The sequence below is a fragment of the Homo sapiens genome, chromosome 1 (assembly GCF_000001405.40).
Source record: "Homo sapiens chromosome 1, GRCh38.p14 Primary Assembly".
In the NCBI taxonomy this organism is placed as follows: Eukaryota; Metazoa; Chordata; class Mammalia; order Primates; family Hominidae; genus Homo; species Homo sapiens.
Genome location: NC_000001.11, coordinates 232,716,912 through 232,742,757, shown reverse-complemented (window position 1 = coordinate 232,742,757; position 25,846 = coordinate 232,716,912). Strand labels below are relative to the sequence as shown.

The window sequence follows — 25,846 nt, the reverse complement described above, 5'->3', positions numbered from 1 at the left end:
GTGGAAGCAGAATCTATAGAACACAGCAGCTCAACAATCAACAGGGCTTTGAAGTGGAAAGGGAGTGGGTGGTGGGGGGGTGTGTGGCTTTAGGGTCTCTGGCTTAGGAAGCTGAGTCTCCGTAGTGCCATTCATACAGATGGAATGAGGGAAGAAGCAGTTTCATGGGAAAGTAGTAAATTTGATTGAGTAACAAGAGCTTGGGGGATCCAGAAGAGAGCTAGGTTTGCAGTTCAGGAGTCCAGGAGAGAGTCAGACTGAAAACATAAGCCCATGGATAGTCAGTCATTGAAGCCATGGGAATGAAGATCACCTATGGGAAACACAGATAGAAGCGAATGTTACCACAATGAAGTGTGGTCTATACAATTAATTGCTGCAAAGAGGTCAGGTAAGATAAGGACTGAAAAATAGCCATCGGGTTTAGTAACAACAATGCCTTTGGTGACATTGGAAGTAAAAGTGGCACAGTAGGCCGGGCGCGGTGGCTCAAGCCTGTAATGTCAGCACTTTGGGAGGCTGAGGCAGGCGCATCACGTGGTCAAGAGATTGAGACCATCCTGGCCAACATGGTGAAATCCTGTCTCTACTAAAAATACAAAAAAATTAGCTGGGCATTGTGGCGTGCCTGTAGTCCCAGCCACTCAGGAGGCTGAGGCAGGAGGATTGCTTGGACTCTGGAGGTGGAGGTTACAATGAGCCGAGATCGCACCACTGCACTCTAGCCTGGCAACAGAGCGAGACTCCGTCTCAAAAAAAAAAGTGGCACAGTAGGTGCAGAACACTGTACAGAATGTAACAAGTAGCCACGAGGCAATGAAGACAGTGCAGACAAGGCTCATAATGCATGATTCTGAAGGAAAGGGGAGAAATAATGAGGCTGTCTAGTGAGGAAAGTGGAGTGGTTGAAAAAAAATTCTTTTTAAAGACAGATGTGTCTGGAACACATTTAAATACTGATAAAAATAGACTAGAGCATTGAGAGAAATCGAATGTGGTTATTTTAAATTTGGGACTAAAAGAGCTATAAGGTAATATGTTAGCCAGATATAATTTTTTTCACTTTAGAAAAAGTCAGTTTGATTATAATAGGTATGATTTACCATACCTGCTATGTGCCAAGCACTGTACTGGGCATTTTATGTCTCCAGTGATTTTATGTTTAAACAACATTAGGAGGTAGGCATTGCTATCATTGCTATCATTATTTTTCAGATGAGAAAATGAAGATGTTATGTGTCTTTCTCAGCCCATGAGTAGTAGATTTTCAGTTCAAATTCCAACCTTTCTCCAAATCCATATTCCGTACACAGCACCACCTCTCAGCATATATTTGCTATGTGGTAGCAGAATCCTTGGTGAATGAGCATCGAAAGGCATGTTTTGATCAGGCTGGGAAATGAGGAGAGAATGCGAAGATCTGAAAGGATCCCCTGTCTGGAATAAATCTTGGTAAAAGATGCTACGAAAGCTGGACCTAGGACAGGAGGATATGAAGAGCAAAGGGAGACAGGCAGAATGAGAATATGGTAATAGCAGAGGTACCAAAGCGTTGTGTAGGGGAATAAAGTCCAGCAAAGTGGGGAGGAGCAGAAAAGAAGAACCCACGTCCTAGGCCAGCCTACACAGCACTCCTGAGCAGGGGAGATCTGGTAATTACGCTATTGATTTTACACATCTGGATAAAGGAAATGCCAGTGATAGGCTGCTGACAACCACCTTTCTCTACTACGCTCCTTATGTGCATATCCAACCACTTATTTGAAACCTCTACTCTTGATTTCTCAAGAGTAGAATTCTTTCCCAAGCCTCCCCATTTCAGTAAATTATTCTACCTTCTATCCAGTTGTTCAAGAAGTCATTCTTGACTCTTCATTCCTGTTTATTCCATATAATCATTATCTTTGCTGTGTAGCAATATTACTAGAAACTTAGTGGCTTGAATCATACTTCTGATCTCAGTTTCTATGGGCAGGAATACAGGCATAGCTTCCTCTGCTTCAGGGTCTCTCATAAGGCTGCAATCAAGGCGTTGCCCAGGCTGCAGTCTCATCTGAGGCTCAAGTGGGGAATTATCTAATTCCTCATAGTTATTGGCAAGATTCAGTTCTTTGTGGGTTACTGGACTGAAGGCCTGAGATCCTTACTGGCTATTGATCAGACATCATTAATTGCCATAAGGGCCTCTCCATACAGAAACTTGCTTCATCAATGCTAGCAAGGGTGAGAGCTAATAAAGAGTCTGCTATCAAAACGGACATTTGGATCTTATGTACTGCATTCACAGAAGTGCCATGCAATCACTGTTTCTATATTCTGTTAGTTAGAAACAAGTCATAGGCTCACCCCATATTCAAACACAGGAGACTTCACAAGGGCATGAATATCAGGAGGTGAGGATAAACAGAGGTCATCCTAATGTCTGCCTACTACATCCCATCACCCAGTTCATTGCTAAGTCTTGTGAACACTACTCCCAAAACGCCCCTTGCATTTGTTCATATTTGTCCATTGCCAGGGCCACCATCACCAATTCAGGGACCATCTCTCACTGGACAATTCTTTGGTCTCCTTTGTTTCATTCTTTCCTCTCTGAAGTCTATTCTACACACTTAGATTGTATAATTTCTCTTCCATAGTTTAAAAGTCCTCCAAAAAGTTCCCACTGATGACAAAATAAAATTGAAATTCCAACAAGACCCTACATTTCCTGGCCTACTGGCCTCTGACTTAATCTGATTTCATATTCCACAACTCAGTATACTCTGAGTGCCAGCTGCTTATGGTTCTCCAACTCCCTGAGTTTATTCCTGCTTTTCAGAATTTAATCTTCATATTTTCTCTGCCTGAAATGTTCTTTCCCCAGGTCTTTTGCAAAGCTGTGCCTCCCTTATCATTCAGCCCCAGCCCAAGTGACATGTCCTTGGAGAGGCTTGCCCTGCTATATTAGTCTGTTTTCACACTGCTATAAAGAATACTACCCAAGACTGGGACATTTATAAAGGAAAGAGGTTTAATTGACTCAAAAGTTCCACATGGCTGGGGAGGCCTCAGGAAACTTACAATCATGGCAGAAGGGGAAGCAGGCATGTCTTACATGGTAGCAGGCAAGAGGAGAATGAGCAAAGGAAGAACTTGCCAAGCACTTATAAAACTATCAGATCTTGTGAGAACTCACTCACTATCATGGGAATAGCATGGGGGAAACTGCTCTTATGATCCAATCACCTCCTACCAGGTTCCTCCCTGAACACCTGGGGACTGCAATTTAAGATGAGATTTGGGTGGGGACACGAAGCCAAACCATATCACCTGCCCAAAGAGAAAGGGAGGAACCAGGATGATTTCCAGGCAATCACCCAAGCTATCTCTATCACATTGCCTCTTTTAATTTTATTAAAGCCCTTATCATTCACTGTCATTTTCTTGTTTACTAATTAACTGTCTTTTCTTTTATTCGAGTTTAAGATCTGTGAGAGCAAAATCCCTGACTTTCTTATTTTCCACTATATATTCCCATTATCTAGAATCAGGCTTCAAATATAACAGGCACTGGGTAAACATTGCTGAATGAATGAATGAATGAATGAATGGTCAATTAATTAATGAATCAAATTACCCATTCTGGGCTGTCTTTAGATGTCTGCACAACATTAATAATTTTAAAACTGGGCTGGGAATGGTGGCTCACTCCTGTAATTGCAGCACTTTGGGAGGCTGAAGGTGAGAGGATCACTTGAGGCCAGGAGTTCAAGAACAGCCTGAGCAGCATAGTGAGACTCCATCTCTACGAAACAACAACAACAAAATAGTCAGATGGCCAGATGTGGTGGCACACTCTCATAGTCACAGCTACTTGGAAGGCTGAGGTGGGAAGATCACTTGAGCCCAGGAGTTCAAGGTTGCAGTGAGCTATGATCATACTCCTGCACTCCAGCCTGGGTGACAGAGTGAGACCATGTCTCTAAATAGATTAAAAATAAGTTTAAAAAACTGAAGTCCTTTGGTATGCCCTTATTTTATTGGCATTGAGATCCAGCCTTTGAAAGTTTCCTCCACCATTTTTTAGAAAGATTTCATAGCCCATTCTTTGATCATCATTTACTTCCCATGTACCCCAAGACGTATTTTATATCACAAAATTAACAAAATGCTTTCCTGGAACAAAAATGCCACCACAGAAGGCATTTTGTCAGGGTCTTCAGGGAGCCAAATTAACCCAGTGGACCTAAAGAGAGAGCATCTCCATCATGCCTGCAGGGACTGACAGAGAAGATAATCTCAGTATTCCTTGGCCACAGCTGTTCTGTGGGCATCATAGCTGGTTTCTACTATGATGTCTCTTTCACAGGTATGAACGTTTCTGTAGGAAAATAAAGGGTTGCACCAAATGAAAATAAAAGCAACTCACTGAGAAATAATGCCATGTGGGAGATGGAGTGGAGTCCAAGAAAATTAAAAACATTCCAAGTTACTGTTTTGGTTTGTTCTGTTTCTCGTTCTGATGAGGCCAAATGATTGACATCTGTTAGACACTCCTTTGTGTTTCAGAGCTGATGTCGTACCCATTCAGAATTTAAAAAGAAAAGCTAATCATGATTATTGCCTCATGGTGTATATCAGTCTGCTGAAGGATTTTTCTGAAGTGAATACATGTTTTTTGGCAGCTCTTGTTTGGGGGAGAGAGCCACCTGCTCTAATTCTTCATCTAGTGGAAAGGTTTGGCACTATCCTCTGTTGCTCTTTAAACCAATACTAACAAGGGAATAATAGGAATATGAAACAAAAGAAACAAACAAGGAGAAATATCTCTTCTATTGGTGTAGCCATCAAGGTCTACTCAGAAAAATAAAGCCCAGATGAAACAGTTCAATGGTAAGGATTTAATTAGGGGAACTAGTTAGGAAGGTGCTGGAAGAGCTGAAGTGGCCAACAAGGGGCAGTGAAAGAAGACATCAGTTCTTTGCATCTCAGAGGAGATTCAACTAAGTGACTTGCCCCAAACAACTTGATACATCAGATTGGCAATAGCGGCAAGCTGCGACCACACAGGAAGGCGGTGTTATGGGTCAAATTGGATCCCCTCAAAAAGGTATATTGAAATTAGGTCATCACAAATGTAATGACTTAAATTAAAATTAGGTTAGACTGGAATAGTGGGCCCCTAATCTAATAGGACTAGTGTCCTTATGAAAAGAGAAGAGACACAGAGATAGACATAGGGGCAAGACGGCCTTCTGATGACAGAGACAGACTAGAATAACGCAGCTGCAAACCAGGGAATGCCAGGGATTGTGGCCACCACCGGAAGCTTGCAAAAGGTGAGGACAGATTCTATGCAGAGTCCCAGAGGGAGCACGGCCCTGCTGACACCCTGATTTTGAACTTTCAGCCTCCAGAGCTGTGAGACTATACATCTCTGTAGTTTTAAAATACCCAGTCTGTAGCACATTGTTAGAGCAGCCCTGAGAAACTAATATGAAGGGCGTATTCAGAATCCAAGCCCAGGACCACTTAGGGGAGGTGGATTTATGAGATGGCCCAGGAAGAGGCTAGGGTCATGGAGGGAGGGCCTAGCTAGTAGGATCTGGGACTGCAGAGGAGACTCAGTCATTGCTGGAGAAGCCACGGAAGCAGGTGAGTGTCAGGGAAGGAGGGAGAAATACTCTGGCCTCTCTATTCCACTCATCCTCCCAGCTCCTGCCAGTGCCTCTCTGTTTCTGAATCTAGTTAGAAACCAGTTGGCACAAGAGTCTGCAAAATTGTTGTTTTTGGGGGCAGGGTAAGAAATAAATCTGAGTAAAAAAAGGCAATGCCTGTCACTCTAAGGGGCTGTCATGTTAGGCTGGCATGTGCACTGGATGTTCTGTTCTCTGCAGCCAAGTCGGGAAATACAGGATATCGATTACTGCACATACCCTAACAGCAGGATTGTGGAGGTTGTTTGAAGTGAAAAAGATCCTAAACACAAAGGCAAAATATTACAAGCCACTGTGGTTTCATTATTAAAGGCATTTGTCCAATGACCTGGAGTCAAGAAAACTGCCACAAATTGGATTTTTGACAATTTGGATGTTGGATTTTGGACAAACATGGTTCACTTTTTCTATCATGTTATGAAGAAGAATTGAAACAATGATATGGGGTATTGCTATGAAGAAACGGAGAAAATTTAGGGCCGAAGACCTACAAAATTTGTTTTTTAAATAGAGAGAGAAACTTCTCCTTCACCCACTAAAATTGCCAAAATCAAGAAGGAAGTGAATAGATGCTAGAGTGATATTTATTTCCCGACCCTATATGACTCCCCTGGACCTAATGTTCCACAGTAAAAATTAAAACAGTATATATGCAGCGGTGATTTGCAAAAGGACTGGAAACACTTGTGGATTTAAACAAATGCAGATACTTAAAATAAAAATCCCCACCATTCTTTAAAGGAAGCAGCATTTGGTAATGAACTTGAGATAAAGTTTTCTTTCTTTTGAAATGGAGTCTCACTGTGTCGCCCAGGCTGGAGTGCAGTGGTGTGATCTTGGCTCACTGTCAGCTCTACCTCCTGGGTTCATGCCATTCTCCTGCCTCGGCCTCCCAAGTAGCTGGGACTACAGGTGCCCACCACCACGCCCGGCTAACTTTTTGTATTTTTAGTAGAGATGGGGTTTCACCGTGTTAGCCAGGACGGTCTCGATCTCCTGACCTCATGATCCGCCTGCCTCGACCTCCCAAAGTGCTGGGATTTACAGGCATGAGCCACCGCGGCCAGCCAAAGTTTTCTTTCATATAAAACAGAATAATATAATATATGTGCATATATTTTATAATATATTTTAATATTTATAGGTAATATTTTAAAATTTGTGATAAAAGAAGGCATACACATTTATTTGCCAGGACAAAACTCTTCTTGGAACACAACATTTATGAAATTAGTCCTTGCATAGGTGACGGTAGGCATTGTCTCTAACCAATATCTTGTTCTGACTGCTAATCTTTTTTTTAAAAAGGGCACCACAATCAATCATTCATCAAAAATAACAGGCAGCAAAGGACTGAGGTAATGTGATTGTTGCTTTCCAAAGTTTCAAATTAGCATAGAAATAGAAAGTAAGCTATCACACCACTAAATAATTAATGTGGCCACAGCAAACATAGGAGCTCTCAAGGAGGCCTTTGACATGTGTGGGATGACAGTACATTCATGGTCATTACACCTAACTATAACTTTTTGACCTTGCTGATTGAAGTGAACGTTACAAGTTATAAATGTGATATTCTGTTGGAAAAGGTTGAGGTTTTTAAACAGATCCATCAGTGTCATGTTCAAACCACAACAAACATGAAATGATAAACAAATTTGAAACCCACAGGAAGACCTCCAAAGAGCCTACATGCTCACATGCAAGCAATGCTCACTGCAGCACACTGCAATGGGGCGTGGGCCTGGGACACAGCAGGACACAAAAACTCCTCTGGGGCCGGGCACGGTGGCTCACGCCTGTAATCCCAGCACTTTGGGAGGCCGAGGTGGGCGGATCATGAGGTCAGGAGATCGAGACCATCCTGGCTAACACGGTGAAACCCCGTCTCTACTAAAAAATACAAAAAAAAAAAATTAGCCGGGCGTGGTGGCGGGCACCTGTGGTCCCAGCTACTCGGGAAGCTGAGGCAGGAGAATGGCGTGAACCCGGGAGGCGGAGCTTGCAGTGAGCCGAGATCGTGCCACTGCACTCCAGCCTGGGCGACAGAGCAAGACTCCGTCTCCAAAAAAAAAAAAAAAAAAACTCCTCTGTAGGGTGATATAAATCCCTCCACATCTATACCGCTTAGTTGTAAAATAAGGGAAGGGAGAAAAAGACAATCAAAACTGGCAGTGGCACTCAGGAATGGAGTGTCAGAAATAGATTCTTGAGCAGAACCTTCAAATAGATCATGAATCAAAGAGGAGAAGAAAAAAGAAATGTGGGTTGCAAATACAAAATTAGCATAAACCAAGAGAACAGACTTTATGTAGAGTGAGGAAGATAAGTGTTTCTCTTGAGTGTCCATAAAAGTGTACCCTGGGAGTACCATGGACACTTTCTTACCATGCCCCTGGAGGTTTCATACTAGGCAGCATGCTTTCATAGTAGGTGGGCATAGACAGGCTAAGTGCCTTGTCCAAAACAACCCAACACATCAGGGTAGAGCTAAGATGGGTCTTCTCAGTCCCTGAGTTTAAGGACTTCGATCACTTAATCGAGTCATGCTGCAGCTCTCAAAGACGACTTGACTTCCTGCGGGTCCAAAGCACATTACCAACTTAATAAGTAATGATACTAAAATGCAAGAAGGCTACGTGTGCACAGTGTCTATCCCCTGCAGGGTCCCTGTATGACCATAATAAGTTTTTATTGCTGAGAGATGGAAAGGAGAATTTTTACACAAAAATCAGGATGGGCAGAGCACTGCCCATGTACATTACTTAAAAACAAACAAACAAAAAAACACTCTTCCTAGTATTTAATATCCAAATGACTTACTATTTGTTTGTCCCCTGAGAAAATATTTTATTGAAAGCTACATAAATGCTATTCTGGTGATTCTTGTATAAAACAGCGAATCCCAGTTACCATCTCTTAAAGAACACAGATGCGGATGCACTTCACCTGGGTGGCATGCTCACCATTTAACCAGAAGGCTAGTACACCTTGTTTACGATTCCCAAAGGGAATAGAGCAAAACTTGCTCTATACTAAAGGCAAAATAATGAAATCTGTTGACAAAACGCCATCATAAAAAAAAGATAATATTAACCATTTATTAGGTTCTAGGTGAACTAAAATTTGAGCAAAGGGGTGAATTTACTCTGGGGGTTGGTAGAAGACAAGAATGTTTGTAGACTGTTTAGAAGGGAATCTAGTGGTAAATTGTCACCCATTTTTCTGTGTATGTCAGGCAGTTTCATTAGAAAAATCTCTGCTAGTGCACTGATATTCTCCCACAGCTGTGGCCAGTAAGTGTGTCATAGTTACCGATGCCAATTTGACAAGAAGGCTGAAGTGAGTCCAAGTGTGGGAGTCTTACCTTCTTAGTAGGCTCCATCGTCTCCACTGTGTAATCTGACCAACTATTCCACTTCAATATACTTTTTTCGCTATAAACACAAAAGTATTTCCTCTCAGCTCTACACTCCTCTAAGAATATTACTCTTATAATGTTAAGAAAATCTTTGTAGTTATTTGAAAACAGAAAAACGTAACAGGCATGTCCTACTGCGGAGGAATTTTAAACTGTATTCAATATTTATATTGAATGATTTGGGCATCATTTTTCTGAAACTAAGACATGTAAGGTAAAAACAAATAATTATGTTAACTTTGCCAGAACCAAGAATTTCAGGATAAGTGATTAGAGTCACAAATATAAAATCAAAAAGTAAAATTTCTCTGTCTTCTATTTCAGCTGACTATGTCACTATGCTCGTAAGGTATCCTTTTCTTTTAAAAGTGCATATTTTATATAGCCTTGTCCACTGAAAGGGGCAAAGAAATATGGAGCAAGGAGCACGTCTAGTGCTCAGACTGTGATCTCGCAACATCGTTTCGCACGTGAAGTCTCTTTGGAGAAATGACTGTGTCAGATCTGGTTCAGGAAATAGACAAGATGAGCTAGAGCATCTTATTATACTAGAACATAAGAGAAATCTTTTAAAGATCACTAGGGTGATGTCAAAAGGGTTGAGAAGCCAAATTAAAGAGACACCCTCACTAAAGATGGGACAGTTGGGTTCTCAAAAAGGATAGTAACCGCAAATAATATTTAGGCTTCTAATATTGTATCATTCATGAGTTCAAAATGATACTGAAAATGAGCCACCATTGGTCTTTGGTCACATTTAGCAGATGTTAGGGAACTATTCTAAAACTGAGAAAACAGTCAAGCATTTATTCTGCTTTTCCTTTACAAACTATGCTTAGGGATTATCATATAGCTCATGAAGAAAAGTCTTTCTTTATAGCAGCACTCCAGCTACTAAATGAAGAAGGATTAATATAATGACATCATTTCAGAACTCCTAGTAAAGTAATGGATGTAGGCAGTGATCACCAATGACTGCTAAAACTGTTAGATGAGAAACTGATGGGGAACTTTAAAATTATGGAAAGACTGACAAGATTTGACCCAGCAATCAATCTTAACATCCCATAAAGGGAGATAATCAGACATTATGTGTCTCCTGATGAAAGTACACAACTATGAGTCATTCCTGCCAAAAAACAGAAATTTAATCTGATAAATCTTCCAGATTGAATTGCCAGCTTTTAAGAAAACAGAATGCGTTAAATGACACCATGAAGATGCAATTAGTAAAATTCATAGGAAAAATGACCTGGTTTCTTTAATCTCTTCAACAAACACATTGAAAAGAAAAATATAGAGAGGGAAATCTATAGATTAAAATAAACAAGAGGGGCCTGGCGTAGTGGCTTAAGCCTGGAATCCCAGCGCTTTGGGAGGCTGAGGCAGACAGATCACTTGAGCCCAGGGGTTCGAGACCAACCTGGGCAACGTGGCAAAACCCTGTCTCTATAAAAAATACAAAAATCAGCCAGGCATGGTGGCATGCAACTGTGGTCCCAGCTACTTGGGGGCCTGAGGCAGGAGGATTGCTTGATCCCAGGAGGTCTAGGCTGCAGTGAGTCAAAATCACACCACTGCACTCCAGCCTGGTTAACAAAGTGACACCCTGTCAAAAAAAATTTTAAAAAGAAAGAAACTTAAGAGTTATATCAACCAAACGCAATGTGTATCTATTGATCCTGATTCAAATAAACCAACTGCTGTAAAATACTTTGAGATAATCTTAGAAATTTGAATAGATTGAATATTTTATGATATTAAGAAATTATTAATAATTTTATGTGCGATATTTATGTTTTGATCATGTTTTAAAAGAGCCCTTGGCCAGGTGTGGTGGCTCACACCTGTAATCCCAGCACTTTGGGAGGCCAAGGTGGGAATCACCTAAGGTCAGGAGTTTGAGACCAGCGTGGCCAACATAATGAAACCCCGTCTCTACTAAAAATACAAAAATTAGCTGGGTGTGGTGGCGCACCTGTAGTCCAAGCTACTCAGGAGGCTAAGGCAGGAGAATTGCTTGAACCTGGGAGGCAGAGGTTGCCGTGAGCTGAGATTGTGTCACTGCACTCCAGCCTGGGCGACAAAGCGAGACTCTGTTTCAAAAAATAATAATAATAATAAGCCCATAACTTGCAGAAATACATAGTAAAATATTTTCAGATGAAATGATGTGTCAGGGATTTGCTGGAAAAGAACTGAGTTTGGGAGGGAAACAATGGAACATTGGAGGAGGCATTTGTGCAACAGTATCAACCACAAGTTAATAATTATTGAACTAAGTAACAAATACATGAGAGTTTATTATAGTATTTTCTACTTTTGTATGTGCTTAATAATTTTATAGCAAAGAGTGGAAAATACGAAATCTCTAAAAACCAACGTTATTCAAATGCTTACACTACCAAAAGTTAAAATTATACACACATTATTCTGTTCATGTTTCTCTCCCATTGTCTAAGATCATTTTATTTATTCTAAATATTATGGGAGAAAATTTGATAACATCTCCTCGGCCTCTTTAATGATTAAAAGTAGAATTGAGGTCTCGGTGGACCTAGTGCAGCCACAAATTGGACCCTAAAGGAAAAGATAGCTTGGCGCTACCTTCCATTTGTGAACATAGCTCTTTAAATAAGTGGTAGCTTAAAATAACTTGCCTTTGGGGATCATACTCAGTGAATATAAAATGATGAAACAACAATCCTTAAGCCGCTAGAGCTGGGGTGGGACCAGGTATCGTAGCATAATAGAGCAAGTGTCATAACATCAATGACTTCCACTGTGTGGTACAGGAGAGAGAATTTTTAGGTCTTTCTCAAGCTGAAGGATGCTCTTTTTCTGCTCTCCTTACAGAATAGAGTGATCTGTGATATCTTCCCACTAATCCCAAGTCAGGAGAGAGAGAGAATGAAGATCCATTGCTGTAGAGGAACAAACTGAACGTGTTGAAGGTCCCGCAAGGCCAATGTGGCTGGAATGCAGACACAAAGCCAGGAGGAACAAGAGATGGGGCTGACAAGAGAGGCAGGAGTCAGATCTCATGGGAACTGTCACCTGCAGGTAAGAGGTTTGGACTTCATCCCACATGCGATAAGAAGCCATTGTGGGTGTTTTAAGCTGGCAAGGGCAGTGGCTAGATTTGCCTTTTTAAAAATTCACTCTGGCTGCATGAGGTAAAAAGGATCAGAGAGGGACAAGCATGGAATCATGTCAGAAATGTAACCCTCTCACCAGGCACAATGGTAACCTGGTGGAGGTGGTAGAAATGGAGAGAAGTAGGTAGATATGAGATATAATTTGGAGATAGAATAGACAGCACTTGTGTTTTTTTTTGTTGTTTTTTGTTTGTTTTGTTTTTGTTTTTGTTTTTTTGAGACAGAGTCTCCCTCTGTCACCAGGCTGGAGTGCACTGGCACCATCTCGGCTCACTGCAACCTCCACCTCCCAGGTTCAAGCGATTCTCCTGCCTCAGCCTCCTGATTAGCTGGGACTACAGGCATGTGCCACCATGCTCCATTAATTTTTGTATTTTAATAGAGATGGGGTTTCACCCTGTTGATCAAGATGGTCTCAATTTCATGACCTCATGATCCGCCCACCTTGGCCTCCCAGAGTGCTGGGATTACAGGCATGAGCCACCATGCCCAGCCAGGACTTGTTGATGTATTGGTTAAGGAGGATCACAGAGAGAAGTTTCAAAGGTAACACCCAAATTTTTTCGTATGATCAACCGGAAGAAGATATGCATTTATAACTAAATGAAGAACACAAGAAAACAGGCATATTTGTGACCAGAGATCAAGAATAAAGTTTTGAGCATATTAAGTTTGAGATGCTGATTAATCTGTCCAAGGGACATCCCAGTGATGATAAACAGAAGTTAGAATGCACATCTGGAGTAAAGAAATATCATCAGGCATTTAGGCCGGGCACGGTGGCACACACCTGTAATCCCCGCACTTTGGGAGCCTGAGGTGGGTGAATCACCTGAGGTCAGGAGTTTGAAACCAGCCTGGCCAACATGGCCAAATGCCAACTCTACTAAAAATACAATTAGCCAGGAGTAGTGGCCCATGCCCGTAATCCCAGCTACTCGGGAGACTGAGGTAGGAGAATTACTGGAACCCTGTTGCAGTGAGCAGAGATCGTGCTATTGGACTCCAGCTTGGACAATAGAGTGAGACTCCATCTCAAAAAAGGTGGAGGGATGGGCGGGGGAAAGAAACATCATCAGGCATTTGCACAAGGTGGAAAGGTGATAGCCCCTAATGTTGATCAGAGCAGGAAGTATTAAAAGACTGGGTGGGATCATAGAGAGAGAGGCAACTGAAGTTAGAAGCCCCCGGAACTGATAAGACCCACCATATTGACCATCTTAGGCTGTGGCCCTCCAAGTCCCAGCCACACTAGCAAATACAATGCTCCTCTAGTGAGTTCTGTCGTTCCGCAAACATGGGACACCTTCTCAGCTTTCTGAGGAAGCTTTCCTAGGATGAAGTGATTCTTCTGCCATCCTGTAAGTATGACTCTGAGCTTTGAAGACAGGGCTGACCCAGGGGAAGCCCAGGATTGGGACAGAATTGACTAAGATCTTAGGATAGTGTCCAGGGACCAGATAAATTTTTTTGGTCTTTCTTAAGGAAGCCTCTTATCAAGGTAATTATTGTGAAAAGTAGGAAATGATTTGTGGTACTGCCCAGGAAGCCTCAAATATTGCTGGAAATCATTAATCATATTAAGGTAGGGGCGTGCCATGCCCTCTTTAGAAGTACAAGTGCCTTCTTCAGCAGGCAGAGATTTTACCCAGAAATTTTACTCTGACACTCTCAGATAAATATTTTTTAGGTTTGGGTTTGGAGTCAAAGCTGCAAACGTCATCAGAGTCTCATGGGATACCAGAATGAGAAAAGTAGTCCAAGTAAACATCTGTTTTCAATCTTTTCAGTGTTGCAGACCTCTTTGAATACACCATGAGCACTGTGGATTCTCGCCTCTGGAGAATAAAAATCACATACAGAAAAGTTCAGACAACTTTAAGGAGTTTGAAGAATCCCTGCTAGTCGTGGACCCATCTGGGGTTGGTGGATTCCTCACCATGACTCTTTGGATTCAGAAGTCATATAAGATGCAGTTTAACAAATATTGGAAGTCAAATGAGCATTCTGCGGAAAAACAGCTTCTTCCATACATCATCTTCTGGAATATCCCAGATCTGGAAGAGGTCACAGGAATGTCCATTCATAGGGAGCTCTACCTGGAGCTCAGAGATGATTGAGAGAGGGTATTCATCATGGATGTGTCCAAGTGAAGGTAGTTTGGAAAGAAACAAAGTTACCCTTTTTTCTCACTAAACATCTTAGGGTCCCCATTAGCAGGAAGGAAGGAAGAGGACAGGTGAGCTCCCTGGTATTGATGTATTTACAGAGAACCTAGGCATCAGCCATACATACAGAGGACACTCATTTGGCCAGAATTTGGGCTTTGACTTTAATTAAATTCCCTTGCTCCCAATAAGACCTCTCTTAATCTGAAAACAATTTGTCATAAGTGATGTACCTGCCAAGACCTCATGGCAAAGAGGCAGGGGGTACCTAGTAAATGTTGCTGACAAACTCCAGCATGACTCTAAAGGGACAGTGGCTTCCTTTGGATGGTCATGTGCTGCTGCTGGACATAGCAATCAGAAGGACAGTGGTGAACACCCAGGAGTGAACCAAGATGCAAAGTTCAAGTCCGAGGGAAGAAGGGTGCAGTGCGGAAGAAGGGAAGGCAGATGCTGCAGCCCTGCCTACAAGCAAGGAGGGAGCCATTAAGAGCCCCAAGCTGGCCAGGCGCAGTGGCTTGCGCCTGTATTCCTAATCCCGGCACTTTGGGAAGCCAAGGTGGACGGATCACCTGAGGTCAGGAGTTTGAGACCAGCTTGACCAACATGGAGAAACTCTGTCTCTACTAAAAATACAAAATTAGCCAGGAGGCTGAGGCAGAAGAATTGCTAGAATCCGGGAGGTAGAGGTTGCAGTGAGCCGAGATCGTGCCATTGCACTCTAGCCTGGGCAACAAGAGCGAAACTCCATCTCAAAAAAACAAAAAAGCCCCAAGCCTACTTTATCAGACAGAGGAATCAAGTTGTATTTCCTTCTCACCAAGAGACGCTGGAAAGCTGTAATCTTACACCAGTGGAGAAAGTGAGAGGAAAATAAACCCTTTCTAAGGATGAATCCTGAAAGCCTTTCACAGACAATGCTGCTTCTATAAGAATGACCTGTGATGGCTAAGCCATCACAGTCTTCATTCCAATTGACATTCTAGGTAAACCTGCGCACAACTTTTTCTGTGTATTTTCCAAAAAAGGATCATTTTATAAAGGCTCAAGTTATTTACAAATATTGTGCGTATTCTTGCTGTTTCTCAGTTCTTTAAGAACCATACAGACATATTGCCTGGATTTTCACCAGCCAATATGAATGTGCTCACCTTCCCTTGGGTGAGACCACACAGGCACAACATGCGGCTCAGGATAAGTTTTATTGAACGTTTAGAGAGCTAGTTAATTAATTAATTATTTTTTTGAGATGGAGTCTTGCTCTGTCGCCCAGGTTGGGGTGCAGTGGCGTGATCTCAGCTCACTCCGCCTTCCGGGTTCAAGTGATTCTCTTGCCTCAGCCTCCAGAGTAGCTGGGATTACTGGCATGTGCCACAACACCCAGCTCATTTTTGTATTTTTAGTACAAACTGGGTTTCACCATGTTGGGCAGGCTGGCCTCGAACTCCTGACCTCAGGTAATCTGCCCGCCTCGGCCTCCCAAAGTGTTGGGATTACAGGCGTGAGCCACAGCTCCTGGACCAAGAGCTAGTTAATTTAAAAAATAGTTTACAAGTTATTTAATAAATGAGAAAATGGAAACTCAGCCCCAAGGGGAAACGGGATTCTAAGTTTAACTTCCTTAGGCAGGTCCAGTTTTGTGTGGTTTCTGTGGTATGGGTGAGTGGTTATCACACAATTTGATCTCATGAGTAAAACTGATGCAGGAGGACTTTTGTTCACTCTGTTTTATTAATGAAATGAATCCAGAGCTGCTTTTTTATGCTAAAGACTTTAGAGTAAAGACATAATAAAGACAGCCCTTCCTCCTCTTGCCTGAGGGAATTTAGGAAGACATTCCTTGAGGAATCTATTTAGGGCTTTGGAGACAGGAAAGGTAGCAGGATATGGTAAGAGCAAAAGCATCAGCTACAGTAGGTAATGCCTGGGGTTGTTGAAACTGAAGGAAGAAAAGGTTTCCTGTACAAAAACCAAGCACCGTTTTATTTTAATGCTCAGCCGAGACCCCTTCCTGAGAAAACCAGCCACGTCCGTGATTCTTGAAGAAGGTAGTTCCTCTGAGCCCTGTGTTCGCCAGAGGCCTGGAGGAGTAAGTGAGAAGTAGAGGGTGCTGCCAGCACGAATGCTTTGTCATTTAGAACTGCCCAGGGAGCAGTTATAAAACACACACCTGCAAATTACAAGAGGATGGCATGGGCTCACAGGTGCAGCAAGACATGAAGTGACATCTGTCCTCAGCGTCCCTTTTCTTGGAATGCTCCCATGTAGAACCCTATGTCACTTTGAACGAACCTCTTTCTGAAGTGCCTGGGGAGCTCTATCTCCAAGCCCCTACCCTAGGTACTTGCCTCTCCACCCAACCCCACCCCAGTACTGACGACTCATCTTAGGAACTGGAGATAGTGAAAGACAAGACCAATTGAGCATTTGGGTGGGAGAGAACATGGCTTACATGCTCTGCTAATCTGGGATCACATTCTTCCCTACAAGTCTGAAAGCTAAGTGACAGCCCCAAGTCTCCCTCTTAGCAGGTTAGGAGGGGAAGCACACCAAGAGGCCTCACAACTGTGTGTGGAATCACTGTGTTCTCAGTGAGGGAGAGAAAATAGAGAATTTTTAAAGCATTCTCCCCAGATAATAGAAGTTTTGATTCGTTCTTTCCCAAGACAAAACCAAAAGTTTGTTTAAATCTTGTTTCGTACACACATTGAGGAGAGCAACTTTGAGCATCTACTGCATACTAGGCATTGCACTCTGTGTGGGGCAATACAGGGGTGATATGGGGCGGAATAAGGCAACTCGAGTGGCCACTAGGTGTACTGCAGAGGTAGTTAACCTGCACTTTGACAAGGCTCCCTCCCCTCCCCTCCCCTCCCCCCTCCCCTCCCCTCCCCTCCCCTCCCCCCCTCCCCCCCTCCCCTCCCCTCCCCCCCTCCCCCCCTCCCCCCCTCCCCTCCCCTCCCCCCTCCCCTCCCCTCCCCCCCTCCCCCCTCCCCTCCCCCCCTCCCCCCCTCCCCTCCCCCCCTCCCCTCCCCTCCCCTCCCCTCCCCTCCCTTTCCCTTCCTTTTTTTTTTTTTATTGAGATGGCGTCTCGCTCTGTCGCCCAGGCTGGAGTGCAGTGGCGCGATCTCGGCTCACTGCAAGCTCTGCCTCCCGGGTTCGTGCCATTCTCCTGCCTCAGCCTCCCGAGTAGTTGGGTCTGGGACTGCAGGTGCCCGCCACCACACCAAGCTAATTTTTTGTATTTTTAGTAGAGATGGGGTTTCACCGTGTTAGCCAGGATGGTCTCGAATTCCTGACCTCGTGATCCGCCCACCTCGGCCTCAAAGTTCTGAGGTTACAAGGAGTGAGCCACCGTGCCTGGCCCATTACTTTTTTTTTTTTTTTTTTTTTTTTTTTTTTAAGGCAGAGGAGTCTCTATCTCCCAGGCTGGAGTGCAGTGGCGTGATCTCTGCTCACTGCAACCTCCACCTCTCAGGTTCAAGCGATTCTCCTGCCACAGCCTCCCAAGTAGCTGGGATTACAGGCGTATGCCACCATTGCCCGACTAATTTTTGTATTTTTAGTAGAGACGGGGTTTCGCCATGTTGGCCAGGCTGGTCACAAACTCCTGACCTCAAGTGATCCACCTGCCTCGGCCTCTCAAAGTACTGAGAATACAGGCATGAGCCAACGCGCCAGGACTAATTTTCATTAATTTTAATCTTTCTCTTTTTATAAAAGCATTTAAGTTTCTACATTGTCTTCTGAGGGTTAGTTATGCTAGGTTTCAGTTTTGATTGCCTTTTTGTTCCAAAGTTTGTCTAAGGATATATTTCATAATTTCAAAGTATTAACTTCATCACTTTTTATTATTTATTATAACTCTATTCTAACTCTATTGGATGATGATAGAAATGAACTCTCCTTTCTTTGTTCCATCAACCTAGAAAATAATTTTTATTATCTATTTGAGAGATTATAGATTCATAAATTTCTTTACGTTTTTAATTTTTGTCTGTTACTTATGACTGATTATGAAAGAGTTATATTAAAATTTCCCAGTAATATTACACTTGTATACAGTTCTTTTATTCCTAATAAGTTTTGCCTCATATATTCAGCTGCTATTTTTTGTGTGCACAGAGGTTTATGAGTTGTTATAATTGTCTGGGTTGTCTAAGAAGCAGACACCGAGATAGAAATGAATAGGGAAGAATTGTATTAGGGGAAATGCCTAAGAAATAAATTGGAGAAGGAGTTGGGAGAGGCTGGGAGAGCTGTCAGATCATAATGAAGACTGACCCTAAGAAAAGGAGAGAGACAAGAAAAATAGAGTTGAAGTGTTTTCAACTGCTGTGAAGTCTAAACATTCAGCACTGCTGTCTGGAAGTCCTTGAGCCAAAGTTGGCTGTCCAAGAGTCTTGTGTCTTCCAGGAATGGGCCTAACTTACTATGCTATTGCTCTTGTTTATTGCCTGAGAACAGCCTCTGGGAAACCTGGCCCACCACGAATGGGGTGATAGGTTTAGAGGGCAGTGGCTGGTGCCCACTGTCATTGATGCTCCCTGTAGTTGGAAGTCAGGTAGGTGTATTCTAATGACAATCATTTTCATGTACCTTCCTCAAAAATAAACACATTCAAATTTTATTAGCTGATTATTTTAGCATTTTCCAAACCTACTAGATCATGGAATCTTTTTTTTTCTACAGAACTCATGGAGCACATCCTGAGATGTGCTTTTCTAGTTGCACATCCGTAGGCATTGCCCTTGGTCATGTGTAGAGCATTTTACTAATGATACCTATGACAACAGAGAAAGCAAGTATGTTGAATTTGCAGCAGTAATGTACAGCAAAAGGGAAAACAAATTCAATAGATTTTCAGAAGTCTGTCTACCTATGCAATTATGTTCCAGTTCTAAAAGGCTCTTTGAAAAGCCTTTCATAAATCCAAAGTAAGAGAGCCTGTTTTCAGTCTGCAGCCTCCAGGTACATTCCTACCAAAATGGACATGGGTCATGACTTTGAAGTGTTAAAACCAGACACACATTTTCCTAGCTGATGTTTGTTCTGTAAGCATCTAAAGTTTTTGAGACAGTTAATCCCGACCCGAAGCTCTGAGGATCTCTGAAATTAGTTTCTGGTAACTTCTTAGATGTCATGCCATCCCACATATATTTGTCTCTTCTCACTTTGATTTTGTGCAGATTCAAATGGCCATGAACCCATTCAACCATACACAGCTCGAGACAGAGGTTTCCTTGGCAGTAGCATCACCTTGTTCTGTCTTCAAGTTCTCTAACTAACTCTTGGCTTTAGAATACTTAGTCTAATAAACTAAAGCCTAAAAAGCTACCTCATCTAATAATAGGGTTGATCTTTCAACCACGTACACCTCTTTTCCTTGTCTTGCCTACTATTGTCAGTTGCATAGACTTTTTTGTTCACCAATGTTTCACTGTTTATCCTTGAGAATCATTCCTACTGTCAAATGACTCATCTCAGCTGCATATGCCGCATTTGTCATTTCCTCACCACTTTCAATTTTTACAAGTGACTTACTTTGTTTTCCTTATAATCTTAAGTCTCTAGGTATGAACGCTTTCAATATTTTCTCAATAGTACTTTTCAAATAGTATGCATTTAATAATGTCCTTAAAACAGCTCAATAATAAGCACAGACCAATAAAGAGTGTGACAGCTGGCCAGGCGTGGATGCTCATGCCTGTAATCCCAGCACTTTGGGAGGCCGAAGCGGGTGGATCACCTGAGGTCAGGAGTTCGATACCAGCCTGGCCACCACTGGTGAAACCCCATCTCTACTAAAATAGAAAAATTAGCCAGGCGTGGTGGCGTGTGCCTGTAATCCCAGCTACTCAGGAGGCTGAGGCAGGAGAATCACTTGAACCTGGGAGGCAAAGGTTGCAGTGAGCCAAGATCACGCCACTGCACTCCAGCCTGGGCAACAAGAGTGAGACTCTGTCTCAAAAAAAAAAAGAGTGTGACAGCTGAGTATGCAGCCACTGATGTCATCTGTTGGTGGCAGTGGGACCTGAAACAATTTGCTCTAATGGAAAGCTTTGCTTATATCTACACATGTTTATTGGTGGAAAACTCATACAGAAAGATGATTCTGTATTAATCTATATAGCTAGAGGCAGTTTATAAGTATTGCCACATATGGTTTTCTGGTCCCGCTGGAGACAGATCCTTTAAACACAAACAGGGAAAGAATAGTAATTATGACTTCAGATACAAAACCAATTTACCTTAAAGTCTCCTGTAAATTAAACCAGCTTTGATCCACCAATCCTGGCTCATTGGTGACCTGGGTTTTATTCCTAATTTGATTCAGGTAGCTTTAGCTTTTATCTGAATGGTACCAATCTTCCACTAATAATCTGGCATTGACACATACAATTCCTGGCTTCATCTTTGTATATAAATAATAAGCTCTAACCTCAATCAAGCTGGTGATGTCTTTGCCTGAGGTCCCAAGTGTTCTTTTAGTAAAAGGCTAGAATTAATTTAATTGATAATAAACTTCACCTGGACACCAGGTTCTTCCAGGACCTGCATTTGGTTGGATGGTTCTTAGTTGTTTCCTTGAGTTTCTTTCCTTCTTTTTTTTTAGAGACAGAGTTTCACTCTGTTGCCCTGGCTGCAGTGCAGTGGTGTGGTACAAGAATAGCTCACTGCAACTTTGAACTCCTGGGCTCAAGTGATCCTCCCATCTCAGCCTCCCAGGCAGCTGGGACTACAGGTGAGCACCACCATGCCTTGCTAATTTTTAGATTTTCTGTAGAGACAGAGTATCGCTGTGTTTCCCAGGCTGATCTCAAACTCATGGCCTCAAGCAACCCCCCTGCCTCCGGCTCCCAAAGTGCTGGGATTTCAGGCATAAGCTACCATACCTGGCCTGGCATCCCCTCTTTTACCACGGCTGGGATCACTTGGCTCCCATCTATTGGCCTAGGACTACCTTAGTCCCTATGATAAATCTTGATGTTAGACAGGATAAAAGCACATCCCTCCAGCCCACAACATTCCCATACTGTGTGGCTCGGGGTCTATCCCCTCCCTGCTGCTTTTTGACCTTGTGAACCTAGTCTGATAACAAGAGTAGAGTCCTATTGCTATCACTCCATCTACACCTTCCACCACCTCTGTAACTAAACAGAGACAGTGTAATGTCAAGAGTACCAGATTGGCTCAAAGGACACAATCAACAGAGTGAAAAAACTATGGAATGGGAGAAGATATTTGTGAATATTGTGGGATTGTGGGCCCTTATTCCATGAGACCTTAATATCCAGAAAACATAGCTACAACTCAATAACAAAAAAGCAAACAAATCCCATTAAAAAATGGACAAAGGACTTAGAGATTTCTCCAAAGAAGAAATACAAGTGGTCAATAAGCACATAAAAAATGCTCAACATCACTAATCATTAGGGAAATGCCAATTAAAACCATCTTTCACCCATTAGAATGGCTACCATAAAAAAGATAAAATAATAAGTGTTGGCAAGGATATGGAGAAATTGGAACGCTTGTACACTGTTGGTGGGAATGTAAAACAGTGTAGCTGCCATGAAAAACAGTACAGCAGTTCCTCAAAAAATTGAAAATAGAATTACCACATGATACACCAATTCTACTTCAGGTACATACTGAAAAGAATTGAAAGGAAGAATTTGAAGAGATATTTGTACACTCATGTTCATAGCAGCATTATTCACAATAGCTAAAAAGTGAAAACATCCCAAGTGTTGGATGAATAGATAAGCAAAATGCAGTATATACATACAATGGAAAATTATTCAGTGGTAAAACAGAAGAAAATTCTTACACATGCTACAACATGGATGACACTTACAGAAAATATTATGCTGTGAAATGAGCCACTCACAAAAAAGAAAAAGACTGTATGATTCCACTTATAGGAAATATCTAGAATAGGGGACTTCATAGAGACAGAAAATAGAATGGTGGTTGCCAGGAGCTGCGGGGAGAAGGGAAAGGGAAGTTGTTTGATTAATGTCGTTTCAGTGTGGCAATATGAAGAGTCCTGGAGATTGGTTGCACAACAATGTTAATGTACTTAACACTACTAAAATGTACACTTAAAAATAGTTGATTGGCCAGGCGTGATGGCTCACGTCTGTAATCCCAGCACTTTGGGAGGCCGAGGCGGGCAGATCACAAGGAGTTCAGACCAACCTGGCCAACATAGTGAAACCCTGTCTCTACTAAAAATACAAAAAAATTAGCAGGGTGTGGTGGTGGGCACCTGTAATCCCCACTACTTAGGAGGCTGAGGCAAGGAGAATCGCTTGAACCCAGGAGGTGGAGGTTCCAGTGAGCCGAGATCGTGCCACTGCACTCCAGTCCGGGCAATAGTGCAAGACTCCGTCTCAAAAAAAAAAAAAAAAAATTAAGATGCTACATTTATGTTATGTATATTTTACCAAAAACATTTTTTTGAGAATGAGCACAGCAGAGGACCTGAATAGATGTCTCAACTCTGATCTTATTATGCATGTCACTAACTTCTTTGGAATTCGGTTCTCTCACTGTTATCACTAGAAGCCTAATTATTCATATTTACATCCCAGGAACACAGAGAATTCAATGAGATCATCCATGGAAAATTACTTTGTAAACAATACAGAATTCTTCTGTAAATGTAGATATTGTAGAAAGTGAAGTAGAGTTCCTCTTCAAAGGGACTTTCCTCCCTGTCTAATTAGCATTAAATAGTAACTTCTCTTAGAAGCAAAATTTATTCAAAGATCTGTGTGAACATTCTTAGATATCTGCTAGCCGTAATAAAGAAATCAATGTACTTTGTGTTCTTAGCTCCCACATTTTAGCCTAGATATTTGCCCTGGCATGCTTATACTGGTCCAAGCAAGCATTAGGTCATAGCCTGTTCCTCTTCCTTATTTGGAGGGTGTTTTTACCTTTCTCAGCATTCCACAGGTTTCTTCCTCCTTCCTTTGTTCTCCTCTGCCTTTGCCTCTTTTAAAAAGTTCTAAGTTGCTAGCCAATAGGGACAAGTACAGAATGTGAGGTCACGTTCCAGCCAATGGAAACTGGACACAGCAGTAGGGTGGACACGTCAGGTTATAAATGACCCTGCTTCCTTTGTTCGTGTGTGCTCTCATGGCAAAACTGCTAGTGAGCAGCACTCTTTCTGCAGAAAGTAAACTAGCCTTGCTGAGAGGTCTTTTGTCTCAGCATTGATTTTTGCGACACTGAGCACCCATTCCTAACTATATCAACAATAAAGTATACAACTAGAAATGTATTAGTTGTCTCTAAGAAGACAATTAGTAGATAAATTTGAGAGAAATTTGTAGAGTTAAAAGAATCCCAGGAACCTGCAGTACAGCATGGATATGCAATTCAAGTCAAAGCATTTTAGTGAGAACTTACCATACATCAAGCACATCCTAGGCACAGGGAACAAGAATAGTCTCTCTCTGTTTGCTGAGCATAATATGATCACAGAATTTTTTAAAAAGCTATAAAACACCGTGTTGAGGAGGGAACACAGAAGGCTGTGAGAGATCATGGACGTCCTGAACGAGGCGGGCTTCTCATAGGAAATGACATCTAACCTGAGGTGTGAAGGCTGAGTACAATTTCACCAGGCTGAGAGGAAGGGAAAATCAAAACATACATAACCATTCATAAGAGATGACACAAAATGTGTATACAAGAGAATGAATAAGAAATAGTAGAAATATTAGAAACGTTGAGTAAAATTTCTGAAGGTTGAGTTAAATTTCACCAGACCAAGAGGAAGGGAAAATGTGTTCTAGGAAGATGAAACAACTCGTGAGAAAGTATGACGGTAAGAGGAAATCCTGATATGTTTGAGGGGCTGAAGAAATTTCTCTACGAAGTTTGGGAGAGGAAAAGCTGAGAGTTAACAGGAACCTCAGCTCACACCGAGACCTTTAAGCTATATAAAGCTGTTAACATTTAACCTGTAAAAAGTAAAGTAGAGGTTCCTCTTCAAAGACTTTCCTCCCATCTAATTAGGAATAAATAGTAACTTCTGTGCTAACATTCTTAGATATCTGCTAGCCGTAATAAAGAAATTAATATACTTTATGTTCTTAACTCCCACAGTTTAGCCTAAATATTTGCCCTGGCATGCTTATACTGGTACAAGCAAGCATTAGGTCATAGCCTGTTCCTCTTCCTTATTTGAAGGTGTTTTTACCTTTCTCAGCATACCACAGGTTACTTCCTCCTTTCTTTGTTCTCCTCTGCCTTTGCCTCTTTTAAAAAGTTCTAAGTTGCTAGCCAGTTGGGACAAACACAGAATGTGAGGTCACGTTCCAGCCAATGGAAACCGGACGCAGCAATAGGGTGGACATGTCAGGTTATTAATTACCCTGTCTCCTTTGTTCGGTGTACTCTCTTGGCAAAACTGCTGGTGAGTGTACCCTTTCTGCAGAAAGTCAAAAAATGGGCTTGCTGAGGAAATTAAATTTATGTTAAAGTGCTATTTCTTTACAGCACCAGGGAACAAGCATTTCTAACAAACCCAAAGTGCAATATGATGCCATCGAAGAGTATTAAGTGGGTAATGCCATCATCAGAACTTTGTTTTGTGAAGATCATTCAGTTTGTAGGGTAGAAGAGTGTATTGGGGTAGGCAGGGGAGGAGAAGTCCAGGCATAGAAATGTCATACTGAAGGTTGTTACAGTAATCTAGACCCATGATGATGGAGGGAAAATAGCATATACATTCAAGCCAGATTTAGGAATAAAAATTGACAGGACCTGGTAATGTATTAGACATAGAGTAAGAAGGAGAAAGAGGAGTCAAAGTGATGGCTTGGGCAACTGTCAACATGGCATTACCATTTTTGGAGAAAGGGAACACAGAACAAGCAACATGTTCAGTTTTGGATGTTTCGAGTGTGAAATGTTTGAGGGCCAAGCAAATGGGATGCGCAGGTCAGGTGAATGCACTGGTTTAAGATGATTGGGATAGAAATTTGAGACAGATATATAGATGTGCAAGTCATTAACGGGTAAAGGGAGTCAAAGCCATGGATGTGTAAAGGCACTGTGTAGTACTGCAGGTGAAATAAGAAGACAAACAGAGGATTTATTATGAGACTGAAAATCAAAACATACATAACCACTTATAAGACAGGACACAAAATGTGTATACCAGAGAATGACTAAGAAATAATAGAAATACTAGGAAAAGGGAAGGACATATTTTCTCAAAAAGGTAATAGTTTATGTTTCAAGCTGGGAGAAAAACATCATCTATCCAATGAAAAATAAGAAATGAAGGAAAAAATTCAAAAGGTACAGTAAATGGAAAATGTTAAATAAGATGTCAGAAGTATTTTTTATTATAATAAAAGTAATCAGAGTAAATGT

At 41.9% G+C, this 25,846-nt stretch overlaps 3 long non-coding RNA genes across 3 annotated transcripts in view; 1 reads left to right on the top strand and 2 right to left on the bottom strand.

Annotated features, from left to right (window-relative positions):
• LOC107983960 (uncharacterized) overlaps positions 1 to 9,141 on the bottom strand; it is a 28,789-nt gene extending 19,648 nt beyond the window's left edge. Inside the window, exons 1-2 of the long non-coding RNA XR_949277.1 lie at positions 9,067 to 9,141; positions 8,088 to 8,276 (exon numbers count right to left, since the gene is read on the bottom strand). This is a non-coding gene — a long non-coding RNA (uncharacterized LOC107983960). The remainder of the gene's footprint in view (positions 1 to 8,087; positions 8,277 to 9,066) is intronic.
• On the top strand, positions 43 to 15,504 carry LINC01744 (long intergenic non-protein coding RNA 1744). The gene is made up of 4 exons (NR_110683.1): positions 43 to 391; positions 7,008 to 7,057; positions 11,977 to 12,183; positions 14,069 to 15,504. It is a non-coding gene; the product is annotated as a long intergenic non-protein coding RNA 1744 (long non-coding RNA).
• Positions 15,505 to 20,507: 5,003 nt separating this feature from the next.
• On the bottom strand, positions 20,508 to 24,687 carry LINC01745 (long intergenic non-protein coding RNA 1745). The gene is made up of 3 exons (NR_146922.1): positions 24,666 to 24,687; positions 23,870 to 24,088; positions 20,508 to 20,638 (listed from the first exon to the last, which is right to left on the bottom strand). It is a non-coding gene; the product is annotated as a long intergenic non-protein coding RNA 1745 (long non-coding RNA).
• Between the last annotated feature and the right edge of the window lie 1,159 nt (positions 24,688 to 25,846).